This window comes from Homo sapiens, chromosome 9 (genome assembly GCF_000001405.40).
Source record: "Homo sapiens chromosome 9, GRCh38.p14 Primary Assembly".
Lineage (NCBI taxonomy): Eukaryota > Metazoa > Chordata > Mammalia > Primates > Hominidae > Homo > Homo sapiens.
In genome coordinates this window covers 34,666,327-34,693,724 of record NC_000009.12, presented here as the reverse complement: position 1 = coordinate 34,693,724, position 27,398 = coordinate 34,666,327, and the positions used below count along the sequence as shown (strand labels likewise).

The following is a 27,398-nucleotide window of genomic DNA, read 5'->3' as shown; positions in this document are numbered from 1 at the left end:
CAGATTTCAGATGTTTTGTCATTATTTCTTCAATTTTTTTAATGCCCTGTTCTCTCTATTCTCCTCCTGAGACTCCTGTGATGAGGTATATTTGATGGTATCCCTGAGGCTCGTTTGGATCTCAAACTTTAGCACATATCAGAGTCACTTGGAGGGTATGTGAAAATGCAGTTTGCTGGACCCCATCCTCAGAGTCTCAGATGTGGTAAGTGGGAAGTAAAATCTAAGAATTCGTGTTTCTAACAAGCTCCCAAGTGATGCTGCTGCTGCTGCCCAAAGGCTACTCTTTGAGAACAACTGCCACAGGGGAAATTATTCACTGCCAGAACTGCAGCAAGATGAAGGATTTGGGGAATTAATACCCCTCTCTCCTTCCACCACTGATCAGTTGCTGCTTCCCATGGGCCAGCCCCAAACAGAAGCCAGAAAGCAGGTGACCCTAAGTAATGCTATCTGCAGAGGTCAGCCTTCCAGGGAGCAGAGCAGGGCCGTGAAGAGTGGAGAATGGATAGGCTGGGGCAAACAGAATAACCAGAACCATCATGGACAGAAGAATGGATAGATCAATGGAAAGAGGGGTGGATGGATGAATTAATGAACAGATACCTGAATAAAAGGATAGAAGGCCAGGCACGGTGGCTCACGCCTGTAATCCCAACACTTTGGGAAGCGGAGGCAAGCAGATCATTTGAAGTCAGGAGTTCGAAACCAGGAGTTCGAAACCAGCCTAGCCAACAAGGTGAAACCTCACCTCTACTAAAAATACCAAATTTAGCCGGGCATGATGGTGGGTGCCTGTAATCCCAGCTACTCAGGAGGCTGAGGCAGGAGAATCCCTTGAGCCCAGGAGGTGGAGGTTGCTCTGAGCCAAGATCGTGCCATTGTACTCCAGCCTGGGTGACAGAGTGAGACTCTGTCTCAAAAAAAAAAAAAAAAAAAGGACAAAAGAAGAACAATGGCTAACAGAGCTTATTGTGCGTCAGCCTCTAAGCTAAGGGCTTTACTCAGGGTTCCTCACTTAATCCTAAGAAGTAGATCTTCTACCATTCCCATTTTACAAATAAGGACACTAAGACACAGAAACTGGAGAATTTTCACCTTGTCGCAGTTAGTAAGTGGTGGAATCTGAATCCCAAGCTAGGCGCTCTGTCTGCAGAGTCTCCCTCCTCTGCACCGTGACTACCCGTGCTGTGCCATGACCAAGTGGCAGACAGGCGGTGTGGAGTGGAGGTAAAGACTGCAAACCCTAGAGCACACCTGGGTCCAAATCATGCTCCAGTACTTACTAGCTGTGTGGCTTTGTGCTCTGAGCCTCATGTTCCTTATGTGTAAAATAAGAATAATAATGTGAAAATAAGAAAAACTACATCAATGGTATTGTTTTGGGAAAGTTAAGCAAGGTAATAGTGGTAAAGTCCTTGACATAGAGCCTAGCACATAGTAAACAATCAAAAATACCATTACTATTATTATGATTAATGAATGGAAAGAAGCTAAGTCAGAAATTTAAGAGGGAAATGTTCCCCCTCCCTCTCTCCATCCAAAAGAGGGTCTAGGGTTTGGGTGACGACGGGTGACTGGGCGTTTCACATTTAGTTTCTCTTTCAAGGCCTTCTCTTCTGACCTTTCTCATAAGGATGGGAAGTCACTTGTCCCCTCCCCCATCGGCCGATTCCTTGAAATTTTAAGATTTGTCTGAATATGAGCTGGCCAGCCCCTCTCCTTAGAAATCCCCTCTTGGTTCCCAGGACTGAGAAAAGGGGGAAAATGAAGGGGGCTATTCCAAGCCAGTCTCCCTCCAGCTGTTCCTTTGACCCAGGTGTTGGACATAGGAAAACAGTAAATAGAGGAAGGGGAGGGTTTGCTGAGCCCCAGAGGCCTGAGATGTGGGATGGGGGTCCTGGGCCTCCTCCCAAGGTACCTGGCCTTTCAGCTCTGCTTGCCCCAAGGGAAGGACTGGTTCCCACATAGTGGGCAGGCACAGTGATGACCTTGGAGGCCACCCCAGGATCTCATGGTTGTCCTGAGGGTGCCAGGGAGCCTTCTTCACCACCAGCCCAAGAAAGAAGCACCAGTGAGGACAAGGGATAAACCTAAGGAAGGGAGCACAGTTCCTCACTGTGGGCCCCACCTTTGACCATCACTTCTGAACCCCAGCTTCATGGTTGATGATGCAAATGCCATCAATGGGATGACAGGGCAATCCCTCTCTCTGGAGAAACAGTGCACAGCCCCCTTTACTGGGCCAGACTGCAGACTTAAGTTCTCAGAGCAGGAGCCAAGGAAAGCAGAAGGAAAGGGCAACCGCAGGGGGAAGAAGGGGGGCAGGGTGCGATTCTGCCAGAAAGAGGGGGGCAACAGGGGAATCACAGAATGGGACATGAAGGGGAATTTCAGGCAGAGAAAGTGAAGCTCTGGCCATAAATAGGAGTCAGCTGCAGGGCTCACATTCCCAGCCTCACATCACTCACACCTTGCATTTCACCCCTGCATCCCAGTCGCCCTGCAGCCTCACACAGATCCTGCACACACCCAGACAGCTGGCGCTCACACATTCACCGTTGGCCTGCCTCTGTTCACCCTCCATGGCCCTGCTACTGGCCCTCAGCCTGCTGGTTCTCTGGACTTCCCCAGGTAAGGCTGAAGGGAGAGTCAGGGTCAGAGGCAGTGGGGGGCTGGCAGTGGGTAATGTCTAGATCTCAGATTGCTTGGCACTGGACGTAAGGGACATGGTGAGTTCAGGCAAATGCTTAGGTCTGTATATTTCGGTGAGCCTGGCAGGTCCCTGCATGTGTGCCTGTAAGTGTGGGTGTCCCTGTGCCCCTGAATCCCAATGCGGGTGTGTCTTTTAGCACATCCTGGGGCCTATGGCTGTGACTGTCTCTGCAAGCTCTATTTCCTGCTGCCTCCGTTTCCCAGGCAGAAGGAGATTTGCTTAAGGTAGGGAGAATGGCAGACACTAAGCCAAGGCTGATATTCAAAAATTTTAGCAATTAATAAGGCTCCTAACACCAGCCTACCCTACCCCACGCCCCTCCCACACTGTGACCTGCATTAACTCTTTACTTGCTGGATTGTCCTGGGAGAGAGGTTGGGGTGATCAGGGCAGCAGGAAGTCATTTGTGGGGCTCAGGGCAGTGGTTATTTACAAAACAGTTTAGAAGTATGACAATATATTTAGCAACCAGTAGAGCCAGAGCCATATTGGTGCATAATGGCTGAATACCAGGTCTAACTCCTCCCCGACCCCACCAGACACACACACACACACACACACACACACACACACACACACACACAGGTGTCCTCAATCCGAGCTAGGGCCATGGCCATGCCACCCTCAAGGGTCCCTGTGTCCTGTCACCTTCTTTCCCCATCCCAGCCCCAACTCTGAGTGGCACCAATGATGCTGAAGACTGCTGCCTGTCTGTGACCCAGAAACCCATCCCTGGGTACATCGTGAGGAACTTCCACTACCTTCTCATCAAGGATGGCTGCAGGGTGCCTGCTGTAGTGTGAGTTGTGGGGAGGGTGTCTAGCCTCATCTCCCGTTTTAGCCCCTGTTGAGACTCCCACCTTCTTATTCCCCTTCTCCATGCCAAGCCCAACCCCTTCAAGGAAATCCCTGAAACAGGTTCCCAGACATGGTCCCCAGGCATGCTGGATTCTGGGGCTCCATTCTCTCCGGCCTCTCACCCCAGGTTCACCACACTGAGGGGCCGCCAGCTCTGTGCACCCCCAGACCAGCCCTGGGTAGAACGCATCATCCAGAGACTGCAGAGGACCTCAGCCAAGGCAAGCCTGGCCCTCCCTGGCCCTGTCTCCTCCCTCTGAGCTCCTGTCTAAGATTCCAGCCCATGATCCTTCCTCTCCTTCCTCCTCTAGATGAAGCGCCGCAGCAGTTAACCTATGACCGTGCAGAGGGAGCCCGGAGTCCGAGTCAAGCATTGTGAATTATTACCTAACCTGGGGAACCGAGGACCAGAAGGAAGGACCAGGCTTCCAGCTCCTCTGCACCAGACCTGACCAGCCAGGACAGGGCCTGGGGTGTGTGTGAGTGTGAGTGTGAGCGAGAGGGTGAGTGTGGTCAGAGTAAAGCTGCTCCACCCCCAGATTGCAATGCTACCAATAAAGCCGCCTGGTGTTTACAACTAATTGATCACAACCTGTTACAGATTTCTTTGTTCTTTCTCCACTCCTACTGCTTAACTAGCCTTAAAAAAAAAAAAAAAGGCACCTGGCACCCATAGATCTGTCTGCTGTCCGTTTGCTGTCTAGCCAGGTGGACAGGAATAGGAAGGGGGAGGTGGAATGGCAGGATCTATTTTCTCTTCTGTGGCCTAGGGGGTCTCCTTGCTCACCTCCACTTAACAACCTGATGCTCTCAGGATCAGCCTCATTGCTTTCCATAGTTCAGCGACACTAAGCTTGGGTCAGTTCCCTGAATGAGCCAGCGTCTCATGCCTCCCACTCTTTGCTCTCCAAGGCAGGTGTTCAAGCATCCAGGTGTCTAAGGAATCCAGTGTCACTGGGGGGAAGGGAGTTGTGGGGAACCAGCTCTCACGGCTGGGGGAGGTGGAGTGGGGCAAAGGGCCCAGCTCTACTGCCTGGGGGAAAATACCCATCCACCCATGCCCTTCCCTTGGTCTGGCACACTCTTCTCTCTCCTCTGCCCACCTGGCTTCCCATCTGGGTCCAGACGCCTCTTCCTCCAGGAAGCCTTCCCTGACCCCAGGCTGGGTTAGGTAGCCTCCTGCAGTGGCCCCTCACAGCATTCATCACCCTGACTTATAGTTGCTGGTTTGTCCAAATTTGTCCATGTTCTTGGACTGGGATCACATCTATTTTGGGTTCCACTGTTTTTGTGGTGTCCAGCATGCTGCTTGGCACAAGGCAGTCCCTCAATAAATATTTGTTTAGAGAATGAATAAATATGTGAGGAAAGGCTCAGCAGCCAGGGCTGAGGGTCCATCTGTTCATTCTGTCCATACAGAATCTGACCTCCAGGCCAGCCTTCCTCTCTCAGCCAAACTGAGCAAGGTCCAGCCCCATCTTTGCAATCCTGGGGCCATGCCTCTCAGGGACACCGACAGACAGACCTGGGAGTCAGAGGTCAGAGACAGGAGAGAGGCCCACGGGGTGGAAGAAGGAGTAGCCAGGGAAGCACAGGAGATTCCACATAGAGGAGCCCTACCACCACCCCTACAGTCTACATGGGCTCCAGGGCTCAAAGGCAACACTGAGACCAGAGACATCTCCCCAGATGAGACCAGAAAGGAATCTCAGCTCTGGGAGATGAGAGCCGTGTGACTCTTGGAGCATCCCACAGGGCTTCTCTGTACAGAGTGAGTGCCTCGTACTTGAGAAGTCTCCTGGGGAAGCAGGCTAGCCTCCAGACAGTGTTCTCTAAGGGCCTCTCCAGCTGGGAGTGACAAGGCTGTGCCACTGGGGTCAGATGACAGCAAGGAGGCCAGATTGAGCACCCTTGCTTGGGAAGAGAGGTGTCATTATATCGGGTATACGTCAGCCAGCAACAAAACCAGGCCTGGGCAGGCCTTGAAAAGGGAGAAATGGTGAGGGAGTTGTGAAAGCCCCTCCTCACTGAGAGCATGACATCCTCTTCCTCTCCTCTGCTCCCAGATGCAGGTGCTCAAAACCTTGGGTATCCCAGGTCTCAGAATCACCTGGAATACCAGGTGGGTGGGAGGGATAGGGATAGTTTTCAAGAAAAGCTGCAATAACCCATCCATTCATGCATCCATGCATCCATTCATTCAGCTGTTTCTGCATTCATCAGACCTCCATCCAGCCAACTGTCCACTCACGCACTTCCCACCCAGCCATTCTTTCATCCATCCACCAAGCCAGCCAGCCATGGCGTTCTAGGTCTCCCAGCTGTGGACCCCGTGCCCCGCATCCCAGCAGGCTGGTGTCTCAGAGGACAAACACACATGGGAGGGGAGCACATTGCCTGAAATCCTTCTCAGTGCCAGTGACATTTAGAGGAAGTCAGCCTGCCACAGAAGCAACAAAAGTGATCTTTCTGGACTATCGGAGGAACACACAGACGGAGCAGGGCAGGTGAGAGTGGGAACCTTGAAGAAGATGCTACCAGGATAGGGGCCCCTGGACGCTACCTCCATGACACTGCCGCCAGGAGGTACAGAGCAAATCCTGAATTCACTGCCTGGGCCAGAGTCCCATGATCCTGTCTCTGCCCCACTCATTGTGTGACTCTGGGCAAGTTCCTTTTCCACTCTGCACCCGGAGATCCAGTTTCCCCATTTGTCAGATGGGAGAGAGGAGCTTGATTTTTGAGACTCCTTCCAAACAAAGACTTGGCTCCTGAATCTTTGGTTCTCATGCTAAACCGCCAGCATTTGCATAGACACCCCACAAAGTCTTGCACATACAGAAAACTCTCCCTGGGGCCACCCTCTGAGATCAAAGGAGATGCTGAGGCTCATAAAAAGAGAAAATAATCTAGGAGCTAGTGAAGTGCCTTGGATTCAATTGACCCTGGAAGCCTGGGAAATGAAGAACTTGGAGGAAATCTGAAGGGGTGGACACCAGAGTCCCAGGGGAGCTGGCATGCAACCCTCCCCACCCCTTCTACAGCCAATGCTTTCCATCCTAGCTTTCTGCCTTCCTCTTTTTCCCACCCCCCAACCATACCAACCCATCCTGGGCACTGGGTCTTACCCCCTTATCTCCCTGCCAGGTACAATTGCCCAGCAATCTGAGCAATTGGAGCAACTGAGCATCCTGCCCCACTCTAACATTCTCAGCACTGTGACTACATTTAATCAACATCTGCTTCCTCTTTCACGGTGAGTCACTGACAATTGTTGCATTTTCATTTATCCAGAGTTCTGGTGGGCCAGGAGCCCACCAGAGATTGTCAGATCTCTGAGGAGTGGTGTGGACTCCTAGCTTCCCAGTTAGGATGTGGAGGCCTTGTTGCCTGCCTATAGATAGACACCTTCTTCTCTAGCGCACATGGCATCTGTTACAGGTTCAAGGCCTGCAGCTGGGTGATACCTCCCATCCTAAAGGCCAATATCTCAGCAGCCAATATCTCCCTAAAAGTATCTGACATCCCTTCTCAGGTTGCTCTTAGCCTTTGGGGGATGAAAATCTCCCTTTCCTATTTGTTGAGGGAGCTCCCAAGGGAGAGGTTGGGCCTCATCCAACTCCATTGCTAACATTGCTCTGCCAGGGTCTGGCATGAAATAAGCCCCAATACACATATGATTAACAAAAATGGAACTGAACATGGCCTTTTCCCACCATGCCCCGCCCCCCACCAGGAGCACATCCAGTTCTCAAGACAGCTGGGGCTATCTCTGTTGTGTGGTTGAGCGTTTGTTCAGAGCCAGCTTCATACGGTTTTGATCATCTCATATTCAACTTCTCGGCAGGCAAGCTCCATGTCACTCCCTCCTTCTAGGCTACGGGAAACTCAGAAACCACCAGAAAACCTTAGATATAACAGTTTCATGAAGGCTCAGGACTCCTAATTGGGAAATTTCCTGCAAGTGCCCCTCTGTAGGAATCAGCAGGCATTTCTCCAGTCAGATAACTTCCTAGGTGATCCCTGAGACTTTGTCCACATGGAAGGACATGGCTCTGAGTATTAGCTAATTCACCACTGACGCTTACCAGGTACTGGGCACTGCTTTAAGTGCTATTACCATTCTTATGTTGCAGCTGAGAAAACTGAGGTACAGAGGTTAAGTCGCCTGCCCAGGATAGACAACTAGAAAAAAGGCAGAGCTGGCGTTCCTGTCTGGGCAGTTTGGCTCCAGAATATCTACTCTGAACTATTACACATACCACTTCTCTGAGTTGACCTATCTCCTAATTACAAATGGAGAACAGTACAGCAAGGCCAGATGTGGAGAAGCAGCCCATGGAAATAGGGAAAGCCACTACTTTTGGGTGCTGGCCATGTGCGAGTCTCCAAGCTGAGTCCTTTCTTGGCACTACATCACTGCACCCTCAAACGATCCCATGAGGTATCATTAGTACCATTCTATGTATAAGGAATTTGAAGCACAGAGGAGAATGACCTCCCAAGTCAACTCAACTGGTGAGTGGCAAAGCTGGGATTGCAGTCTAAGCCTGACTGATGGGCAGCACTTGGACTGAGGGCTGGGGGCTGGGAAGTCTAGTTGGGGTAGAAAAGCTCAGCTTGCTAGAAAGAGCTGGGGAAAAAACAAGAGAGGAAGCTGGTGGCCAAAGGTGGGGTCCTAACACTTGAACCCAGACACAAAGACACACCCTAGAGGGCTTCCAGCTTCCTGGGCCTCTGCAGTAGAAGGAGCATCAGCTTCCCCAGAGCCTCAAAGAGGGAGTTTACTCAGGCCTCAGTTTTCCCAACAACAGAGGAGTAGAGAAGGGGATTGGGCTACAGCAATGCCCACCCTACTCCTATTCCCAGGGGAGTATCAGATGCCAGGACCTGGTGATATTGAAAGGAAATGAGGAATGTAGGAAGAGTGCTGGGGATCTGGAGGGTAGGGGTAGAGGCAGGACAAGGAACCTTGTGACAGGCAGGGCTCCTGGAAAGGAGTGGGGCCAGGCGTCTGATCGGCAGGTGGCAGAGGACCTCTGAAGAGCAAAGCATCTGAGGGCAGCAAGGCAGCATCAACTCTCAAAAGGCCCATTTCTGAGGGACACTTCCATCTCCCAAGGGGCCAGGGGCAGGCAGGGCAGGGTTGGAGGAAAACAGCAAGGACAGAACCTCTAAGGATCAGGGTAGATGAGGGAATCAGGCCTCCCCACCCTACTTCTAGGGCCTTTGGGTCTTCCCCGTGGCTCCAGGGGGATGCAGAAGATGTGAGCCACCCTCGGCTCCAACCTGGCAGAGGTGGGAAAGCTTTCACCCCAGCCACAGGAACACTACCATTCTGGGACAACCAGATCTCCTAGGGCTTTTGATCTCAGAATCCCAGTCCCTGGAAATCTGAGCCTAACACAATCCAAACCCCAATCACCACGTCGACCTCATTCCTGCCAAACCATCATTTCAAGGGTCCTCTCCCAAGAGGAAGCCAGCCCTTCTGTCAGGGCCTCAACACTGCAAAGTGCTCATCAGTTGAGGAACCCCCATTCCTGATAGGATGTCCCAATGCCTATTATGTCCTCATTGCTGACAGGACACCCATTAATGTCAAGGTCCCCCCATTACTATCAAGCCACCATTCCTCTCAGGAAACCCTACCACTGTCAGGAACACTTAAACCTGTGAGGCAGGACAGCAGCACTGCACAACTCCAGGGGGCACCATCCTCTCTGTAGTCTACGTAAATGGCTCCTGGTATGGCAGCACTGAGTGCCAGAGTATCACTCTGAATGTTAGTGTAAGGCCCCCAGTAGTCTCAGCGCTGCCATCACATAGGTTTCCAGCCCTGGGAAAACCCCTCACGTCTAAAGTGATGCCTCATCACTGTCTGCAACCCAGAACACTTATTCATTCCAGGCACTATTCTAGGTGCTGGTGATACGATAGTGAACAAGATAGATATGGTCTTGGTCTTCATGAAGCTTCCCCCTCTCCTCCAAAAACAAAAGGCAAATAAACAAAAGTGTGGATCAGGATTCTTACTTGCAAGCCACTGAAACTCACTGGCTGATTCCAACAGAAAAGGAGTTTATTAAAAAGACCCTGGGAAGATGCAGAAAATAGCGAGAATAAGTGAGCCTAGGCAGCCAGAACCACTCCCAGAGCATACGGTACAGTACAGATGGTCCAGATAGGCCTCCAAGACAGCATGGTGGCACCACCAAAAGGCGATGCCAAGTGGCCAGGACAATGCTTATGTCCAGACAACTGGGGCCCTTGCCCTGCATCCCATGTTTTAGATGACCCTGATCTGGCCCTCCTCTAATCATATCTCTGGACACAGGAAAAAAAAGTCCACAGGACGAAGGGAGCACCCACCCAGAACTCATTCTTTTCTTCTAGACCATATTTCAGGAATTGAAAAACAGAGAATTTCCTGCCCAAATGCCCCCAAGTAGCTTCCAATATCATTATGGGCCTCTTCCTCAGATTTGTTCTTCCTAGGATAGACTATGTTACTGATATACACACTACCAGGTCCAGAGGGTAGCCAAGAAGTAGCTATTTGCAGGGAATGTAGAAGGAGCTTGTATGTATGGGGCTGGAGTGTTTACACCCAGACACGTGAGACCCTTCATGGTGCAGGATAGAACTGTGGATAGGAAGAGGAGAGGGACAAGTGGAGGGCTGGTGATGGGCTCTCCCCTTACCACCTCATTCCATCATGGATCTCCAAGGAGTTCAAGAATTCTCAACTTGAACCTAGCCTCCAAGTTGTTTTGAAAGTATATATTTTGGCCGGGCATGGTGGCTCACGCCTTTAATCCCAGCACTTTGGGAGGCCAAGGCGGGTGGATCACCTGAGGTCAGGAGTTCGAGACCAGCTTGGCCAACATGGCAAAACCCTTTCTCTACTAAAAATACAAAAATTAGCCAGGTATGGTGGCGCATGCCTGTAATCCCAGCTACTTGGGAGGCTGAGGCAGGAGAATCTCTTGAACCCAGGAGGCAAAGGTTGCAGTGAGCTGAGATTGTGCCATTGCACTCCAGCCTGGGCAACAGAGCAAAACTCTGTCTCAAAAAAAAAAAAAGAGAGAAAGAAAGAAAGTATATTTTTCAAGGTAAGGAAGACAGACACATTTTTTATTTGACAACTTGTTCGCTTGATTTTTACCTTTTAAATATTTAGATAGTGGGCCTCCATTTGTACTATTGCCCCAAGCCTCACCAGTGTTAGGTGGTCAGCCTGCCAGATGCCACCTCTGGAATCATAGCTACAGCTGCCCCTGTAAAATAGACATCACTTTCACCACCACGGCTACCACCACCAAAAATGGATTCTCTAATAACCCCACTCCTTCACATCACTACTAGTTTCCTATTCACAGTCCTATGATTAGCAAAGCCTAGGTCATGTGTCCAAGTCCTAGTGCAGAGGGGGCTGGGAAAATTAGTATGTGACTTTTGGGGATTCTATGATGGAAAGCAAAGTCTACCAGTAACCAAGAGTAATATAATAGGAAGTTTCTCAAACACAGAAAGGGGCTAACTTTGTGGGCAATGAAAATAATAATAATAAATATCTCTATAGTCCACACTATGGCTATCCAAGATCAACATACATCCTTCTTCCCAAACCCTAGACTTCTTAGAAAATTGAGCGTATCACCTAACATAATATCACCTTTGTTTATACAGCCAAAAAAAATTCACCCCCCCGAAAGACAGACAACTCAGAGCCTTAGAAATTACCACATCCATCTTAGTCTGTTCAGGTAGTCATAACAAAATTCCATAGACTGTGTAGCTTAAACAACAGAAATTTATTTTCTCACAGTTCTGAAGGTTAGAAGTCCACGATCAAAAGTGCCAAGATGGGCCAGGCTCAGTGGTTCATGACTGTAATCCCTGCACTTTGGGAGGCCAAAGCAGGAGGATCATTTCAGCCCAGGAATTTGAGACCAGTCTGGGCAATGTCTCCACAAAAAAAAAAAAAAAAAAAAAAATAGAAATAATTAGCCGGGTGTGGTGGCAGGTGCCTGTAGTCCCAGTTACTTGGGAAGCTGAGCTGGGAGGAACTCTCGAGCCTGGGAGGTTGAGACTGCAGTGAGCCGTGACCATGACACTGCACTCCATCCTGGGCAACAGCAAGACCCTGCCTCAAAAAAAAAGTGCCAAGATAGTCACTTTCTGGTGAGGGCTTTTTTTGTGGCTTGCAACCAGCCAGCCACCTTCTTACTATGTGACAGAGAGAGACAAAGAGAGGTCCCTTCCTCTTCTTCTAAGTCTATACTCCTATCGGATTATGACCTCATTTAACCTTTTTTTTTCTTCTTCTTCTTTTTTGAGATGGAGTCTCACTCTGTCACCCAGGCTGGAGTACAGTGGCATGATCTTGGCTCAATGCAATCTCCAACTCCTGGGTTCAAGCACTTCTCCTGCCTCAGCCTCCCAAGTAGCTGGGACTACAGGTACACACCACCACACCCAGCTACTTTTTCTATTTTTAGTAGAGACAGGGCTTCACCATGTTGGCCAAGCTGGTCTCGAACTCCTGACCTCAGGTGATCCACCCACCTCGGTCTCCCAGAGGGCTGGGATTACAGGTGTGAGCCACCACACCCGGCCTCATTTAACTTTAATTACCTCCTAAAGACCCCATCTTCAGATACAGTCACATTTAGGGTTAGGACTAAACATACGAATTTGGGGGGGGACACAATTCATTCCATAGCAACATCTGCTTCTAAATCCAAGATATTGGGGTGACATGTTTTCCCCCTCCAGTTTTACTGTAATCTTACATCTCTATTTTCTAACACCTGGTAACCACCACCAACACACCTGATTGGTCAGAATAGGCTAGGTAATGCTGTAATAACAAATGACATCCAAATCTGAGGAGTGTAATACAACAAAATTCTATTCCCCATGCATACCAAGCCTGCTGTGGGTCCAGGCAAGTCTCCAGCACAGTTGTAGTCCATGTGGCTGCTCAAGTTTTCAAGTGTTTTGATCTGTTGGCAGCCTCTTCATCTCAACACAGGCTTCCATGGTCGCTCCAGTCAAGGAAGACAGCAAGGGAAATTCTTGCTTAAATGTTTTTGTCCACAAGTGACATATGCCATTTCTGTTCACATTTCATTGGCCAAAGTGGGTCACACAGCCATACCTAACGTCTTGATGGTAACTCCCAAGATGAGAAGTAAAACCAGAATCTTGCTGAGTAGTAGTAATACCACCACAACAACCTATATTCAAGAATGCAATAAAGGAGGATAAAAGAAAAGAGGAGTCAGTGAAAGAACAGAAAAATAGACACATTTCACATGGAAGGGAATATGGATAAAAGTTACAGTCAGTAGTTCTGCAACTGGTTCTGGGACTTAGCTGACATTTATTATTCTCTTCTTGTATTGGTTTTCTTATTTTATTTTATTTTTTTTTTTATTTATTTATTTTTTTTTTTGAGACGGAGTCTCGCTCTGTCGCCCAGGCTGGAGTGCAGTGGCGGGATCTCGGCTCACTGCAAGCTCCGCCTCCCGGGTTCACGCCATTCTCCTGCCTCAGCCTCCCAAGTAGCCGGGACTACAGGCGCCCGCCACTACGCCCGGCTAATTTTTTGTATTTTTAGTAGAGACGGGGTTTCACCGTTTTAGCCAGGATGGTCTCGATCTCCTGACCTCGTGATCCACCCGCCTCGGCCTCCCAAAGTGCTGGGACCACAGGCGTGAGCCACCGCGCCCGGCCTTCTTATTTTATTTTTTATTTTTTTATTTTTTGAGACAGGGTCTCCCTCAGTCGCCCAGGCTGGAGTGCAGTGGTGCGATCTCGGCTCACTGCAACCTCCGCCTCCCAGATTCAAGCGATTCTCCTGCCTCAGCCTCCCAAGTAGCTGGGACTTCAGGCACCCCCCACCATGCTTGGCTAATTTTTGTATTTTTAGTAGAGATGGGGTTTTACCATGTTGGCCAGGCTGGTCTCAAACTCCTGACCTCAGGTGATCTGCCCACCTTGTCCTCTAAAGTGCTGAGATTACAGGCATGAGCCACTGCACCCAGCCTTGTATTGGTTTTCTATTGCTGTAAAATAAATCACCACAAATTTAGCAGCTTAAAATAACTCAAATTTATTATCTCACAGCTCCTGTGAGCCAACAGTGTAGGTCTAGGTTGACTGGGTCCTCTGATCTTGGCCTCACTAGGCTGAACTCAAGGTGTCATACAAACATATTTGGACTGTCAGGCAAAAATAAAAATTAAAAATATAAAAGAAATGAACTCAAGATGTCATCCAGCACTGCAATCTCATCTGAGGCTCAGAGCCCTCTTCCAAACTCACTGCTATTTTTGGTAGTTGTGCTTGTAGGACTGAAGCTCCCAGCTCCTAGAACTGCCTGCCATTCACTGGCACATGGTCCTCTCCACAATATGGAAGTTTTTTGAGAAGGCGTCTCGCTCTGTCACCAGGCTAGAGTGCAGAGCCGCGATCTCGGCTCACTGCAACCTCCGCCTCCTGGGTTCAAGCGATTCTCATGCCTCAGCCTCCTGAGTAGCTGGAATTACAGGCACGCGCCACCACACCCAGCTAATTTTTGTATTTTTAGTAGAGACAGGGTTTCACCATGTTGGCCAGGATGGTCTCGATCTCCTGACCTCGTGATCCGCCCACCACTGTCTTTCAGGATCACCCTGAATGGGGCCTTAATGCTATAGTGATCCACTCTAAACTAGTTCCAGAAAATTGTGCAGAATCATATATACCCAGCTGAAAAATTGGCTTATGAGTCAACGGTCATCAAGAACTCTCCATGAGGCTGCAGGTGCAGACTAAGGGAAAGGTGACAATGACCCAGAAGCAAGCATGCTGGAAATGTGAGCAACCTGCTCTTGGGCTTCATACTGCATGGTAATTGGCCACAGACACCTCAAACACCACTGGATCTGATGAGTCAAAGGGCCAAGTGAGAGACAATGGCACTGCCACCAATTCTACTGCCACCACCAAAATGGATTCCCCATGGTCCTTGCTTCTTTGCATCACTAATACTTGATTCACAGCCCTGAGAAGGTACATCCAGATTGGTTGGACTTTCTTAGATGCAAGAGAGGCTGGGAATGTGAGTATCTGGCCTGTAGGGCTTTTATGCAGGAAGGGGGTTCAAACCAGACAGGTGTTAGTTTAAACTCTAAAGGGACAGAACTAATGGAATAGACATATCTAAAGGGGCCGGGTGTGATGGCTCAGGCCTGTAATCCTAGCACTTTGGGAGGCCAAGGCAGACGGATCGCCTGAGGTCAGGAGTTCCAGACCAGCTGGCCAACATGGTGAAACCCCATCTCTACTAAAAATACAAAAATTAGCCGGGCATGGTAGCCCATGCCTGTAGTCCCAGAGACTCAGGAGGCTGAGGTGGAAGAATTGCCTGAACCCGGGAGGTGGAGGTTGCAGTGAGCCGAGATCGTGTCACTGCACTCCAGCCTGGGTGACAGAGCAAGACTCTGTCTCAAAAAAAAAGAAAAAGAAAGAGCCAGGCATGGTGGCTCTTAATCCCAGCACTTTGGGATGCCTAGGCGGGCGGATCACTTGAGGTCAGAAGTTCAAGACCAGCCTGGTCAAAATGGTGAAACCCTGTCTCTACTAAATATACAAAAATTAGCTGGGTGTGGTGGCAGGCGCCTGTAATCCCAGCTACTCAGGAGGCTGAGGCAGGAGAATCGCTTGAACCCAGGAGGCAGAGGTTGCAGAGTGAGCGATACTGCGCCATTGCGCTCCAGCCAGGGCAACAAGAGCAAAACGTCATTCCAAAAAAAAAAAAAAAAAAAGGAAGGAAGGAAGGAAAGAAAGAAAATATATAAAGGGGGGGAGTTTATTAAGTATTACCTCACACGATCACAAGGTCCCACAATAGGCCGTCTGCAGGCTGAGGAGCAAGGAGAGACAGTCCGAGTTCCAAAACTGAAGAACTTGGAGTCCAACATTCAAGGGCAGGAAACATCCAGGATGGGAGAAAGATGTAGGCTGGGAGGCTAGGCCAGTCTCTCTTTTCACATTTTTCTGCCTGCACATATTGCCGGCAGCAATTAGATTGTGCCCACTCACATTAAGGGTGGGTCTGCCTTTCCCAGCCCACTGACTCAAATGTTAATCTCCTTTGGCAACACCCTCACAGACACACCCAGGATCAATACTTTGAATCCTTCAATCCAATCAAATTGACACTCAGTATTAACCACCAGGACACCTAAAAGAGAAGAAGCCAGCCATTCAAGGAGGAATGACCAGTGTGGCCAGAGGACAATGGACGAGGAGGAGATGGCATAAGAAGAGGTAGGACACAGAGGCTGGAATCATAGGATCCAAGTCTTTGCAGGCCACAAGAAGGAGTGAGGATTTTGTTCTATAAGTGCTGTGAAAGATTTAATCTGAGGAGTAACATGATCTCATTAACAGTTTACTGGCTGGGCGAAGTGGCTCACACCTGTAATCCCAGCATTTTGGGAGGCCCAGGCGGGTGGATCACGAGGTCAGGAGATCGAGAACATCCTCTTTCTAACACGGTGAAACCCCGTCTCTACTAAAAATACAAAAAATTAGCCAGGCGTGGTGGCGGGCACCTGTAGTCCCATCTACTCGGGAGGTTAAGGCAGGAGAATGGCGTGAACCCGGGAGGCGGAGCTTACAGTGAGCCAAGATCGTGCCACTGCACTCCAGCCTGGGCGACAGAGCGAGACTCCATCTCAAAAAAAAAAAAAAAAAAAAAAAAACAGTTTACAAAGACCCTATCAGCAGTCAGGAAAAATGAATTGTACAAAGAATGGGGAAGTCAGAGGGCTTTTCCAGTAGTCTAGGAAAGAGATGATGCTGGCCTAACCTAGGTGGTGGCAGTTGGAATAGAGAAGAGGAATCCAATATGGACTTATAAGTAGAACATGAGGCTGAGCTGATGGATTATATTTGAAGCATAAGGGCAAGGGAAAAACCAGGGATGACACCAGGCTTCAGGCCTGAGCCCCTGGAGGGATGGTGGCTTCCTTTTCTGAGATGGATAACTGGGGAGAAGACGAAGACAAGCTAGGAGGGAGGTGTTGAGAATCAGGAGTTTGGTTTTGGAATAAGGTATCTGATATAGTTTGGAAATGTGTCCCTGCCCAAATGTCATGTTGAAGCGTCATCCCCAGTATTGGAAATAGGGCCTGGCGGGAGGTGATTGGATCACGGGAATGGATTTCTCATGGAGGGCTTAGCCCCACCCCCTTGGGGCTGTCCTCCTGAAAATGAGTGAGTTCTCATGTGATCTAGCTGTTTAAGAGCGTGTGGCATCTCCCTCTGTTTCTCTCTTGCTCCTTCCCCTGCCATATGAGATGCCTGCTCCCCCTTCAGCTTCTGCCGTGATTGTAAGCTTCCTGAGTCCTCCTCAGAAGCAAATGCCAGTGTTATGCTTCCTGTATTGCTTGCAGAACTGTGAGCCAACTAAACCTTTTTTCTTATAAATTACCCAGTTTCAGGTATTTCTTTATAACAATGCAAAAACAGCCCAATCCAGTATCTGTAAGAAAGCCAAGGAAATCCCAAATAGGCAGTTGGCTCTGCAGCCTGGAACCCAGAAGTAGATCTGTACACCATCCCTGGCTCTTCCAGGGTCTCACTCTGTTGCCCAGACTGGAGTGCAGTGGCATAATCATGGCTCACTTCAGCCTCAACTTCCCAGGCTCAAGAGATCCTCCACCTCAGCCTCCTGAGAAGCTGGGACTACAGGGGCCCGCCACCATGCCCAGCAAAGTTTTGTATTTTTTGTAGAGATGTGGTTTCCCCATTGTGCCTAGGCTGGTCTTGAACTCCTGGGCTCAAGTGATCCACCTGCCTTGGCCTTCCAAAGTGCTGGGATTACAGGCATGAGCCACCATGCCCAGCCCAACTTCTACCTCTTTAATGTCTCTGGTATCTGCGCCACTTCTTCAGCCCTGCTACTACAGCCCAGCCCTGACTTCAGCCTCCTTCCTAAGGGCAGTTGCAACATCTGGGCTTGGCCATCCCCATGGCTCCTTCCTCAGGAATTTTTCAAAATTATATATGACCAGAAATAACTCCCCCACTCCACCTCCCACACACATATAGCCTCTCCCACCACTAGCCCTTTCCCCGCCCCACCTACATTGGGATTAATCACAAACTCTTATGTCCCTCCTCTGAGCCTTTGTGCTTGCTGTTCATTCTGTCTGGAATGTCCTTTCTCCATTCCCACCCATCCTTGAGGTTCTTTTTGCAAAGCTATCTCCTTCAGGCAGCCTCCCCTCCCTACTTCCCTCTGACACCCCAGGGCTCCCCATCTCCAACCACATAGCAGAGGTCACCCTCAGCTTTACATCCAGGGGCCCTTGTTTCCTGAGCTTCTCCCAAGCAAGCTCAGCCCAGGCCCAGGCACCCTGAGGTTCAGAGTGACCCAAACTGCAGGGAATAGAGGAGATAACTATTGAGGAAACCCTGGCAGTGGCGTTATTTCAAGCTCCAGGGGATAGGACGCAGGGAAGGGGTGTATGCTATTGCTCAAGACTTCCCCCTATCCTGATATCCCATCACCTCCAGAAGTTCTGTGCAATGTTCCACCCACACTCTGGGACTGCAGAGCCAAGCTCTGCCCCTCCAGCTGGACTGAGACCCTCCAGACATGAATAGAGGATTTGCAAAAGGATAGGAAGTGAAGCAGACCCCTTCCCAGGATCAGGGACTTTCAGAAGTTGAGTAATTTGGTTTCTTGCTCATTTCCAGCCCCTTTCTGGAACAAGACATGACAGCCCACTTAGGCCAGATCCCCTCTTCCACAGGCCAGGAACCACACACTCCATTTTCCCCGTATGCTAGACGCCCTCTGCAGGCCCCATGAGGTTGAGAGTCCAGGCCAGGAGCCCCTTTTCCCTAGGCACTGGACGCCCCCTGCAGGCCCTTGCGGATTGAGAACCACAAAGAGATGGATTGAAAAAGCAGCCAGAAAACAAACCTGCCCAGCGCAGTGGCTCACACCTATACTCCTAGCACTGCAGGAGGCCAAGGCGGGAGGATCACTTGAGCCCGGGAGTTTGACACCAGCCTGGGCAACACGGTGAAACCCCATCTCTACTAAAAATACAAAAAATTAGTGGGGTGTAGTGGCACGCACCTGTAGTCCCAGCTACTTGGGAGGTAGGAGGATAGCTTGAGCCCAGTGGTGGTTACAGTGAGCCGAGATCACGCCACTGCATTCCAGCCTGAGTGACAGAGCGAGACCCTGTCTCAAAAAACAAAAATAACAACAACAACAAAAACACCATACACAAACACATAATTGCCGACACCCTTACCCACCTACGTGTCTCTACCCACACACATACATACACAGACACATAATCAATCACACAGCCAATCACTCACATACACCAAGGACACACTACAATCGTTTAAGCATATAATCACAGTACAAACACAAGGGCACTCCCTGTTCATGTTCCCAATAATAAAACATAATATGTCTTCCCCATTGATCCAGACTAGGATTGGCAAACTATGGCCCATGGGCCAAATGCAGCCTGCCACCTGTTTCTGTAAATAGAGTTTTATTGGAATACAGCCATGCTTATTCATTTAAATATATCTATGACTGCTTTTGTGCTGCAACAGCAAAGCTGAGTAGTTGCTACAAAGACTGTATGGCCCACAGAATCTTAAATATTTACTATCTGGACATTTACAGAAAGTTTACCAATCCCTGATCCAGACTCAGCTTCAGAATTGAAGTTGGCAAGTGAAACAAGACTAATTGTCTTCAGTGTCTTGGCATTGAAAGATGGTCAGAGAAATAAATGGATGGGATGGACGGATGGATAGATGGGCAGATGGACACATACAGGTAATAAAGCAGAGTTTTGCTCCGAATACCAGTGTTCCACTCATTATAAACTGGGAAATCTTGGGAAAATTAACCTTTCTGGGTCTTAGTTTCCCATCTGTATAATAGGGATAATACAGTCATTTTTACTGAGGGCTTTTTCGGTTGCAAACGGCAAAAACCCAATTCAAAGCACCTTGAGCAAAAAGTTAAATTTGTTATATCAAAACTAGGTATGAGGCCAGATGCAGTGGCTCACGCCTGTAATCCCAGCACTTTGGGAGGCTGAGGCAGGTGGCCTGCTTAACCTCAGGAATTTGACACCTGCCTGGGCAACATGGGGAAATTCTGTCTCTACAAAAATTAGCCAGGCTGGCCAGGTGCGGTGGCTCACACCTGTAATCCCAGCACTCTGGGAGGCCGAGGCAGGCAGATCACAAGGTCAGGAGATCAAGACCATCCTGGCTAACATGGTGAAACCCCGTCTCTACTAAAAATACAAAAAATTAGCCAGGTTTGGCAGCGGGTGCCTGTAGTCCCAACTACTCTGGAGGCTGAGGCAGGAGAATGGCGTGAACCTGGGAGGCAGAGCTTGAAGTGAGCCGAGATCACACCACTGCACTCCAGCCTGGGCGACAGAGCGAGACTCCGTCTCAAAAAAAAAAAAAAAATTAGCCAGGCTGTGGCACCCACCTACTCAGGAGGCTGAGGTGGGAGAATCACTTGAGCCCAAGAGGTGGAGGTTGCAGTGAGCCGAGATCACACCTCTGCACTCCAGACTAGGCAACAGAGCGAGGCTCCATCTTAAAAAAACAAACAAACAACAACAACAAAAAAGCTTCTCATTAAGGAGAAGATTATCTGCAACCCTGGCTGGATCCAGGGGTTGAAATGTTGTTATCTCCTTCTCTTACCTCAATTCCTCTCTTTTTTTTTTTTTTGAAATAGAGTCTCGCTCTGTAGCCCGGACCGGAGTGCAGTGGCACGATCTCGGCTCACTGCAACCTCCCGCTCCCAGGTTAGAGAATCCTCCTGCCTCATCTCTCGAGTAGCTGGGACTGCAGGTACATGCCACCACGACTGGCTAATTTTTGTATTTTTAGTAGAGACAGGATTTCACTAGGTTGGCTAGGCTGGTGTCAAACTTCTGACCCCAGGTGATCTGTCCGCCTTGGCCTTCCAAAGTGCTGGGTTTACAGGCATGAGCCACCATGCTCTGACTAATCTTTTTGTGTAGGGATCTCATTCCTGTCATAGACAGGTTGCTATGGTTTGAATATTTGTCCCCTCCAAAACTCATGCTGAAATTTAATCCCTGGCTGGGCATGGTGGTGCACACCTGTAGCTGTAGTCTCAGCTACTTGGGAAGCTGAGGCAGAAGAACTGGCTGAGACCAGGAGTTCAAGGCTGCAGTGAGCCATGATCATGCCACTGCACTCCAGCCTGGGCGACAGAGTGAGACTTCGTCTCTTAAAAATATATAACAAATTAAAAATAAATAAAAGAAATTTAATCCCAAATGTAGCAATATTGAAAGGTGGGGCCTTTAAGTAGTGATTGGGTCATGAGGGCTCTGCCTTGATGAATGGATGAATCCATCCATGGAGTAATGGGTTATTATGGGTGTGGGACTAGAGGCTTCCTAAGAAAAGACACGGGCTAGGACACTCAGCCCCCTCACCATGTGATGCCCTGTGCCACACCTCACGACCCTGCAGAGAGTCCCCACCAGCAAGAAGGATCTCACCAGGTATGTCCCCTCAATCTTGGACTTCTCAGCCTCCATAACTGTAAGAAATAAATTATTTTTCTTTATAAATTACCCAGATTTAGGTATTCTGTTAAGAAACAGAAAATGGTCTAAGATACAGGTGCTCTTCTAGTAGCAAGAAATATGGCCACTAGAAGCCTTAAGCCTAAATTTTTATATTGATTGATCTAAAAGAGACTCTCTTTCTCCTAGCATCCAAACATCAAATCTCATAGAAAGCTCTGGTTAACTGTACTTGTGATACATACTCAGTTCTTCAGTCTATCACAGTGGCCAGGAAAAGGGGTACTCTGATCAGAGCACTGTAGCTGACAGCCCCACCAAGACCATGTTAAGTGGGAAAGGAGTTTCCTACAGGAACCACAAAAAGGGGTATAGAAAAGTAGAAAAGTGGTCTGCATAAACAAAAACAGCCCACAGCAATCCACTTCATAGATTTGTCATGAGACAATGAATTTAAAGCATTTTGCATGGTGCCTGGCACTTAAGTATCATAAATGTTAATTATTACCATAACTGAGAGACAAACAAATGAAGGGAAACAATAAATGAATAATGGTTGAACATACAGATGAACAGGTCACAATGAATATATGAAAAAATAAATGAAAGATGAAAGAAGGAAGAATGGGCTGATGAAGAGATAAAGATGAGTAGACATATAGACACATGGATGGATGGATGGATGGATGGATGGATGGATGGATGGATGGATGAGGCAGAAAAATACAGGCAATTAAATCTGCTCCACTATATACTCTAGATCTGGAATGGGAAACAGAATAGCACTCCACAATAGTGTCTTCTGAGAGGTCTATCTCTTGGGTCTGGCAGAACAGTTCTCTGGGTGACCGTACACTGACCCAGTTCTCCTCCCTTTCTCACTTGGAATGCAAAATCTTGAGATAAGGAAGAGGTGACAGAAACAGACAAGGAACAGGCTCTCTTCTAGTCCCACCCCAGAAACAATATCCTTCAATGTTTTAGCCCAGGAATTCACATTGCCCTGGGGTATAAAACCCAAGGCAGGCTGCTTTCTGGAGTCCTTGGCTGCAGTGCAAGTGCAGCATAGGCAGATGAAGCCATCTGCCCTGGGCAGCTTTCCTGAGCCTTGGGGGCTGCCTCACAATTAATCCTGGGATTCTGTTTCCCTTGCTGCCTACCTGAGAGTAATAAATCCATTTCATATAACTTGTTGGATGTGTTCTCCCACTGGACTCAGACAAATTGGCAACCAGTACACAGTAAGCCTGCTTCTCAGGACTCCCTCATTCCTTTCTTTTCCTGTTACTCTGTGAGCAGACCAAACCCTCTCCTCAAAAATCCCTCTCAATTCCCAGGATAGGGAGGCCACGGTAGAGAATGGGCATGTTCTAGGCCAAGTTCTCCTCCAGCTATTCTAACTCAGCTCTGGGGCATAGGAAAATGGGTCAATAAGGGAGAGGGACAGTGCTGGCTGGGCCAGGAAGGTGAAGTCCTAGAGTCCAGAGATGAGAGATAGGGGAGCTGAACCTGCTTCCAAAGAATGTTCCATTTAGCTTCACTTTCCAAGGGAGGAATGGATCTCAGATGGTGGATATATAGGCACTGTGATAGGCCCAGGGAGGTCTGGAGAATCTGGGAGAGGACCTTCTCATCCTTACCCTGCTCTTGTGATTGTCCCTCAGGGAATCTAGTGGGTGGCTATGTCCCATCTTTCCCACTCCTCCTACTCCCAGGTATCTTAGTACTACAGAGAAGAGCTGGCAGTGAGGAACCTAGGGAGGAGACACATTCCTACCTCTGACCCTAATCTTGAACCAAACCCTGACTCCCAGCCTTGAGACTGATGGCTCAAATGCCTCCAAAGGAGCAACATCACAAACCTTGCAAATCTTCCCCTAATGGTAATAGTGCAAACTCTCCTCCCCTTGTCCAAACTGCTTATTGCTGAAATTCTCGGAGCTGAAGCCAAAAAGTGAAAAACAGGTGCAGTCTACTGCGGAGAGTTGTGAAAGAGAAAAGAGTTTCCTCCACAAAAAGGGAGAGAGAGGCGATGGGGAGCTATCCAGTGGGAAAGTATTCTGCTACCAACTCATGGACTGCAATTCACTTCTGACACTAGCCACGTAGAGTTAGCACCAGATTCCACAGGTTTAAGGGAAAGGTCCCCAACAAGACTGTCCCCAGTTTAGATACCAGCCACAAGTAGGGTCTCCAAGCCACCCACATTTCTGGCCAACTGGCTACAAGTCTGAGAAGTTCCCAAAACCCGTCAGTTTTGATAATTTGCTAGAGTGACTCACAGAACTCAGGAAAGTGCTGTGTTTAATTAGTTTATTAAGGGTATAAATCAGAAACAGCCAAATGAAAAGACACACAGGATGAAGTCTAGGAGGGTCTCAAATGCAGAGCTTCTCTCAGTGGTTTCTCCTTGTGGAGACATAAGGTGCATCAGCCTCCTGGGACATCAATGTGTTCATCAACCAGAAAGTTTTATGAGCTTTGGTGTCCAGAGTTTTTTTTGAGATTTCCTTACATCAGCATAATTGAATTATTGGCCACATACCTGAATTCAATCTCCAGCGCCCCCTTCCTCCCCAGAGGTCAGCCTGGCCCAAAGTCTCAACTCTCTAATCACATGGTTGGTCTTTACTGTGACCAACCTCTAACCTGAGCCATCTCATCTCTTAGCATAAACCCAGGTGTGTTCCAAGGGGCTCATGAGTAATAAAGACACTCCTATTACTTGGGAAATTCCAAAGGTTTAGTCTCCCTCTCAGGAGCCAGGGACAAAAGGCAGTCAAATTCTTTATTACACACCATTAGGGAAGGAAGTTTCTGAACGTAGAAAATGAAAGTTTTAGGGGGCCATAAATAGGAGACAGCCACAGCCTCCTACAGATCCACACACACTCATGGACCCTCAGTCTTCCAAGGACTCCCTCGCCCTCATGATCATGATCCCTCTCCTGCTTGCTCTCCCCATCCAACCTCACACACAGTCTCACAGACTCCACACAAGCAGAAGGACTCCTGCACACCCATGCACACCTGCTGCTCCCAGGGACTCTCCTCATTTGTCCATCTCTGCTCATCCTCCATGGCCTCTTGTGTGTGTGGCAACACTCCTCTTCTCAGCATATTGGTTTTCTTGCCATGAGTGAGTAAAATGGGGCAGGGGTTAAACGGTACGGAGGGGCATGGCAGGGATCAATGTGCAGGTCTCAGGGGTCTGTAAAGGAAGCTGAGTTCATGTTGTGAATCCAAAAGTATCTGAGATGGGTCTCAATCAATTTAGAAAGTTTATTTTGCCAAGGTTGAGCACACACTCATGACATGATACAGCCTCAGGAGGTTCTGACAACACATGCTAAAGGTGGTCGGTGCACAGCTTGGTTTTATACATTTTGGGGAGACATGAGACATCAATCAATACGTGTAAGGTGTACACTGGTTCAGTCTGGAAAGGCGGGACAACTCGAAGTGGGGGCTTCCAGGTCATAGGTAGATAAGAGACAAAAGGCTGCATTTTTTGGGGTCTTTGATCAGCCTTTCACTGAATACACAATTTACATGGAGTGGGGAGTAAAGGAATAGTCACACTGATGCCTTAGTCTGGCTCAGTGGATCTGCATTTTTGCATAAACAATAGGGCAGAAGCAGCAATCAGATACACATTTGTCTCAGGTGAGCAGAGGGATGACTTTGAGTTCTGTCTATTGTCCTGCACCTGTGAAGATAAGCTATCAGTTTACATTGCCAGGGTGAAATTCAGCACAACTGTTTTAAGGTAAAGATCTTGAGGCCCATAAGGAATTTCCCTGTGGACAAATTGTGAGGGAGGTATGTAGCTTTTTCTTTGTAGCTATCTCTTTTAGGAATAAAACAAGAGGCAGGTTTGCCTGACACAATTCCCAGCTTGACTTTCCCCTTGGTTGAATGATTTGGGGGTTCTGAGATTTATTCTCCTTTCACAATATCAACATCCAGGTTCTGAGACTGATATGCACCTGAGACTGTACATATGCCAAATGGGTGTGCCCTTGTGATGACTTTACGTCCTGTGTGACATGGGTATACCTGTGCATTGTGTGTATTCCTTTGCAGTCTATGTGTGTGCCTGTGTGGTGTGGGTATGCCTATGCCCTTTGTGTGCACCTGTGTGATGTAGATGTGCCTGTACCCCAGCTGTTCCTGTATGTATCAGTGCCTGGATGGGTCCTGGAGCCTCTGGCTGCTCTTCTCTTTATAGGCTCTGTCTCTCTAGCCTGGACTTCCCAGAGGAAGAAGAGAACAGTGCATGTGGGTGGAGTAGAGAGCAACACTAAAGCTCTGGACACAGATATCCCAAGTTCCAGTCAGGGCTATGGCCTTCCCATCTTAAGCCCTAAAGCTAATACTCACTCCCTAGCTCTGGGAGATACCAACAACTCTGGGGACTCTGCCTCTTAGCAAATCAACACCCAATTCCTGGGAACATTTTTGGTGCCTTCTGCTACCTCCTCTTCAGGGATGGCTGCAGGGCACTTTGTCCTATGAGTCGGGGTGGAGAATGTCCAGTCTCCTCCCCTCCCAATCACTTCCTCCATCATCCAGGTCTCCATTCACCATGTTACTTCCTTCACTTCTCCTTGCCCAATCCCTCCCACAAGGAAGCCCCTAAAACAGGTTCCCAGATCTGGTCCCCAGCATCTGCCCCTCACACCAGGGCCTTTCAGGAAGATGAGTTCTATGGCTCCATTCTCTCTGACTCCAGATTCACCACACTGAAAGGCAGCCTCTAGACCAGCCCTGGATGGATTGCACAAACTGGAGACTGCGGAAGACCTCTGCCAAGGAAAGCCTGGCCCTCCCCAGTCCTGTCTGCCCCCTCTGAGCCCTGTCTAAGATTACAGCCCATGGCCCTTCCTCTCCTTCCTTTCCCAGAGCAAGAGCCACAGCAGTTAGCCCATGACAGTGCCAGAGACAGCCCTGGCCTGGGGAACCAAGGACCAGAAGGGAAGACCAGGCCTCTAGTTCCTCGGCACCAGACCTGACCCAGCCAGGCCTGGAGTGTCAACATGAGTGTGAATGTGAGTGAAAGGGTGAACGTGGTGAAAGCATAGCTTCTGAACTCCCAGACTGCAGTGCTTCCAATAAAACCACCTAGCACCCATGGATCTCTCTGTCTGCTCTCTGTATGTGGCTCAGACAAGGGAAGACAAGAATGAGAGGGAGAAAGAGGGTGGGATGAGGGAGAGAAGAGGGGTATCCATTCCTCACATTTCAACCAGAGGAAACTTTCACCCCACTTATTTCTGGTCACTCCCTCCTATACAGTCAGCCCAGCCCCAAAACTGTCTTTCCCCTTACTCAAACCGACTACAGCTCAGTACTGGGCCTTGACTGGGATGTCAGAGCTCTGGGGCAGCTATTTCCAACCTCCCACACTGGGTTGATTGCCCTTTCTTGACACCTTCTACTTCTTCCAGCCAGCCTGCTCCATTTATAGTAAGAATCTCACTATTCTCTTTTGATCCTCCCAGCTCTACCCCTACCTCTCAGAGGGCAGACAAGGTGCCTGTCTTGTTTGTTGGTTGTTTTGTTTTGTTTTGTTTGAGACGGAGTCTCACTCTGTCACCCAGGCTGGAGTGCAGTGGTGCGATCTCAGCTCACAGCAACCTCCGCCTCCCAGTTTCAAGCAATTCTCTGCCTCAGCCTCCCGAGTAGCTGGGATTACAGGCGCCTGCCACCACGCCCGGCTAACTTTTGTATTTTTAGTAGAGACGGGGTTTCACCATCTTGGCCAGGCTGGTCTTGAACTCCTGAACTCGTGATCCACCCACCTCGGCCTCCCAAAGTGCTGGGATTAAAGGCGTGAGCCACCGTGCCCGGCCACCTGTCTTCTTTACTACTACATCCCCATGCCCAGCACAGTGCCTGACACACAGGTGGTCATTCAGCAAATATTTGTTGATTGAATGAATGTAGCAAAAAAAAAAAAAAAAAATCACAAGAAGATAGGTCTCAGACCAGAGAGGAAGGGCAATGACCCTCCGGCCATTCAGTGACTTAGCCGAGGCCACTCAACTAGGTATTTCCGTAGCCTGGCCTTTTCTAGACTGGACTCTATCTGAGGACCTATTCCTCCTCGGCCCAGGGTCATACAAGGGGAGGAAGGCAGGCAAGAGAGGCACTCGGCAGGGCAGAAGCCCAGGGAGGGGTAGAGGAGACGT

At 49.0% G+C, this 27,398-nt stretch overlaps 2 protein-coding genes and 1 long non-coding RNA gene across 3 annotated transcripts in view; 2 read left to right on the top strand and 1 right to left on the bottom strand.

Annotated features, from left to right (window-relative positions):
• PHF24 (PHD finger protein 24) overlaps positions 1-27,398 on the bottom strand; it is a 316,938-nt gene that overhangs the window by 288,820 nt on the left and 720 nt on the right. The window contains exons 2-3 of the mRNA XM_047423102.1: positions 15,452-15,629; positions 12,508-12,819 (exon numbers count right to left, since the gene is read on the bottom strand). Coding sequence (XP_047279058.1) covers positions 12,508-12,555 — 48 coding nt within the window. The 5' untranslated portion in view covers positions 12,556-12,819; positions 15,452-15,629. The remainder of the gene's footprint in view (positions 1-12,507; positions 12,820-15,451; positions 15,630-27,398) is intronic.
• CCL19 (C-C motif chemokine ligand 19) lies at positions 2,449-4,155 on the top strand. Its single transcript, NM_006274.3, has 4 exons — positions 2,449-2,634; positions 3,383-3,515; positions 3,702-3,795; positions 3,886-4,155. The coding sequence occupies exons 1-4, from the start codon at positions 2,586-2,588 to the stop codon at positions 3,904-3,906; spliced, it is 297 nt and encodes a 98-aa protein (NP_006265.1). The 5' UTR covers positions 2,449-2,585; the 3' UTR covers positions 3,907-4,155.
• Positions 25,232-26,338, top strand: LOC124902146 (uncharacterized). The gene is made up of 2 exons (XR_007061467.1): positions 25,232-25,485; positions 25,940-26,338. It is a non-coding gene; the product is annotated as an uncharacterized LOC124902146 (long non-coding RNA).

Excerpts from the sequence above, each read along its gene's own strand:
- CCL19 (NM_006274.3), top strand. The coding sequence starts at position 2,586 with ATGGCCCTGCTACTGGCCCTCAGCCTGCTGGTTCTCTGGACTTCCCCA. Across the intron at positions 2,635-3,382 it reads GGTTCTCTGGACTTCCCCAG|CCCCAACTCTGAGTGGCACC; the intron begins GTAAGGCTGAAG and ends TCCCCATCCCAG. Across the intron at positions 3,516-3,701 it reads TGCAGGGTGCCTGCTGTAGT|GTTCACCACACTGAGGGGCC; the intron begins GTGAGTTGTGGG and ends CTCTCACCCCAG.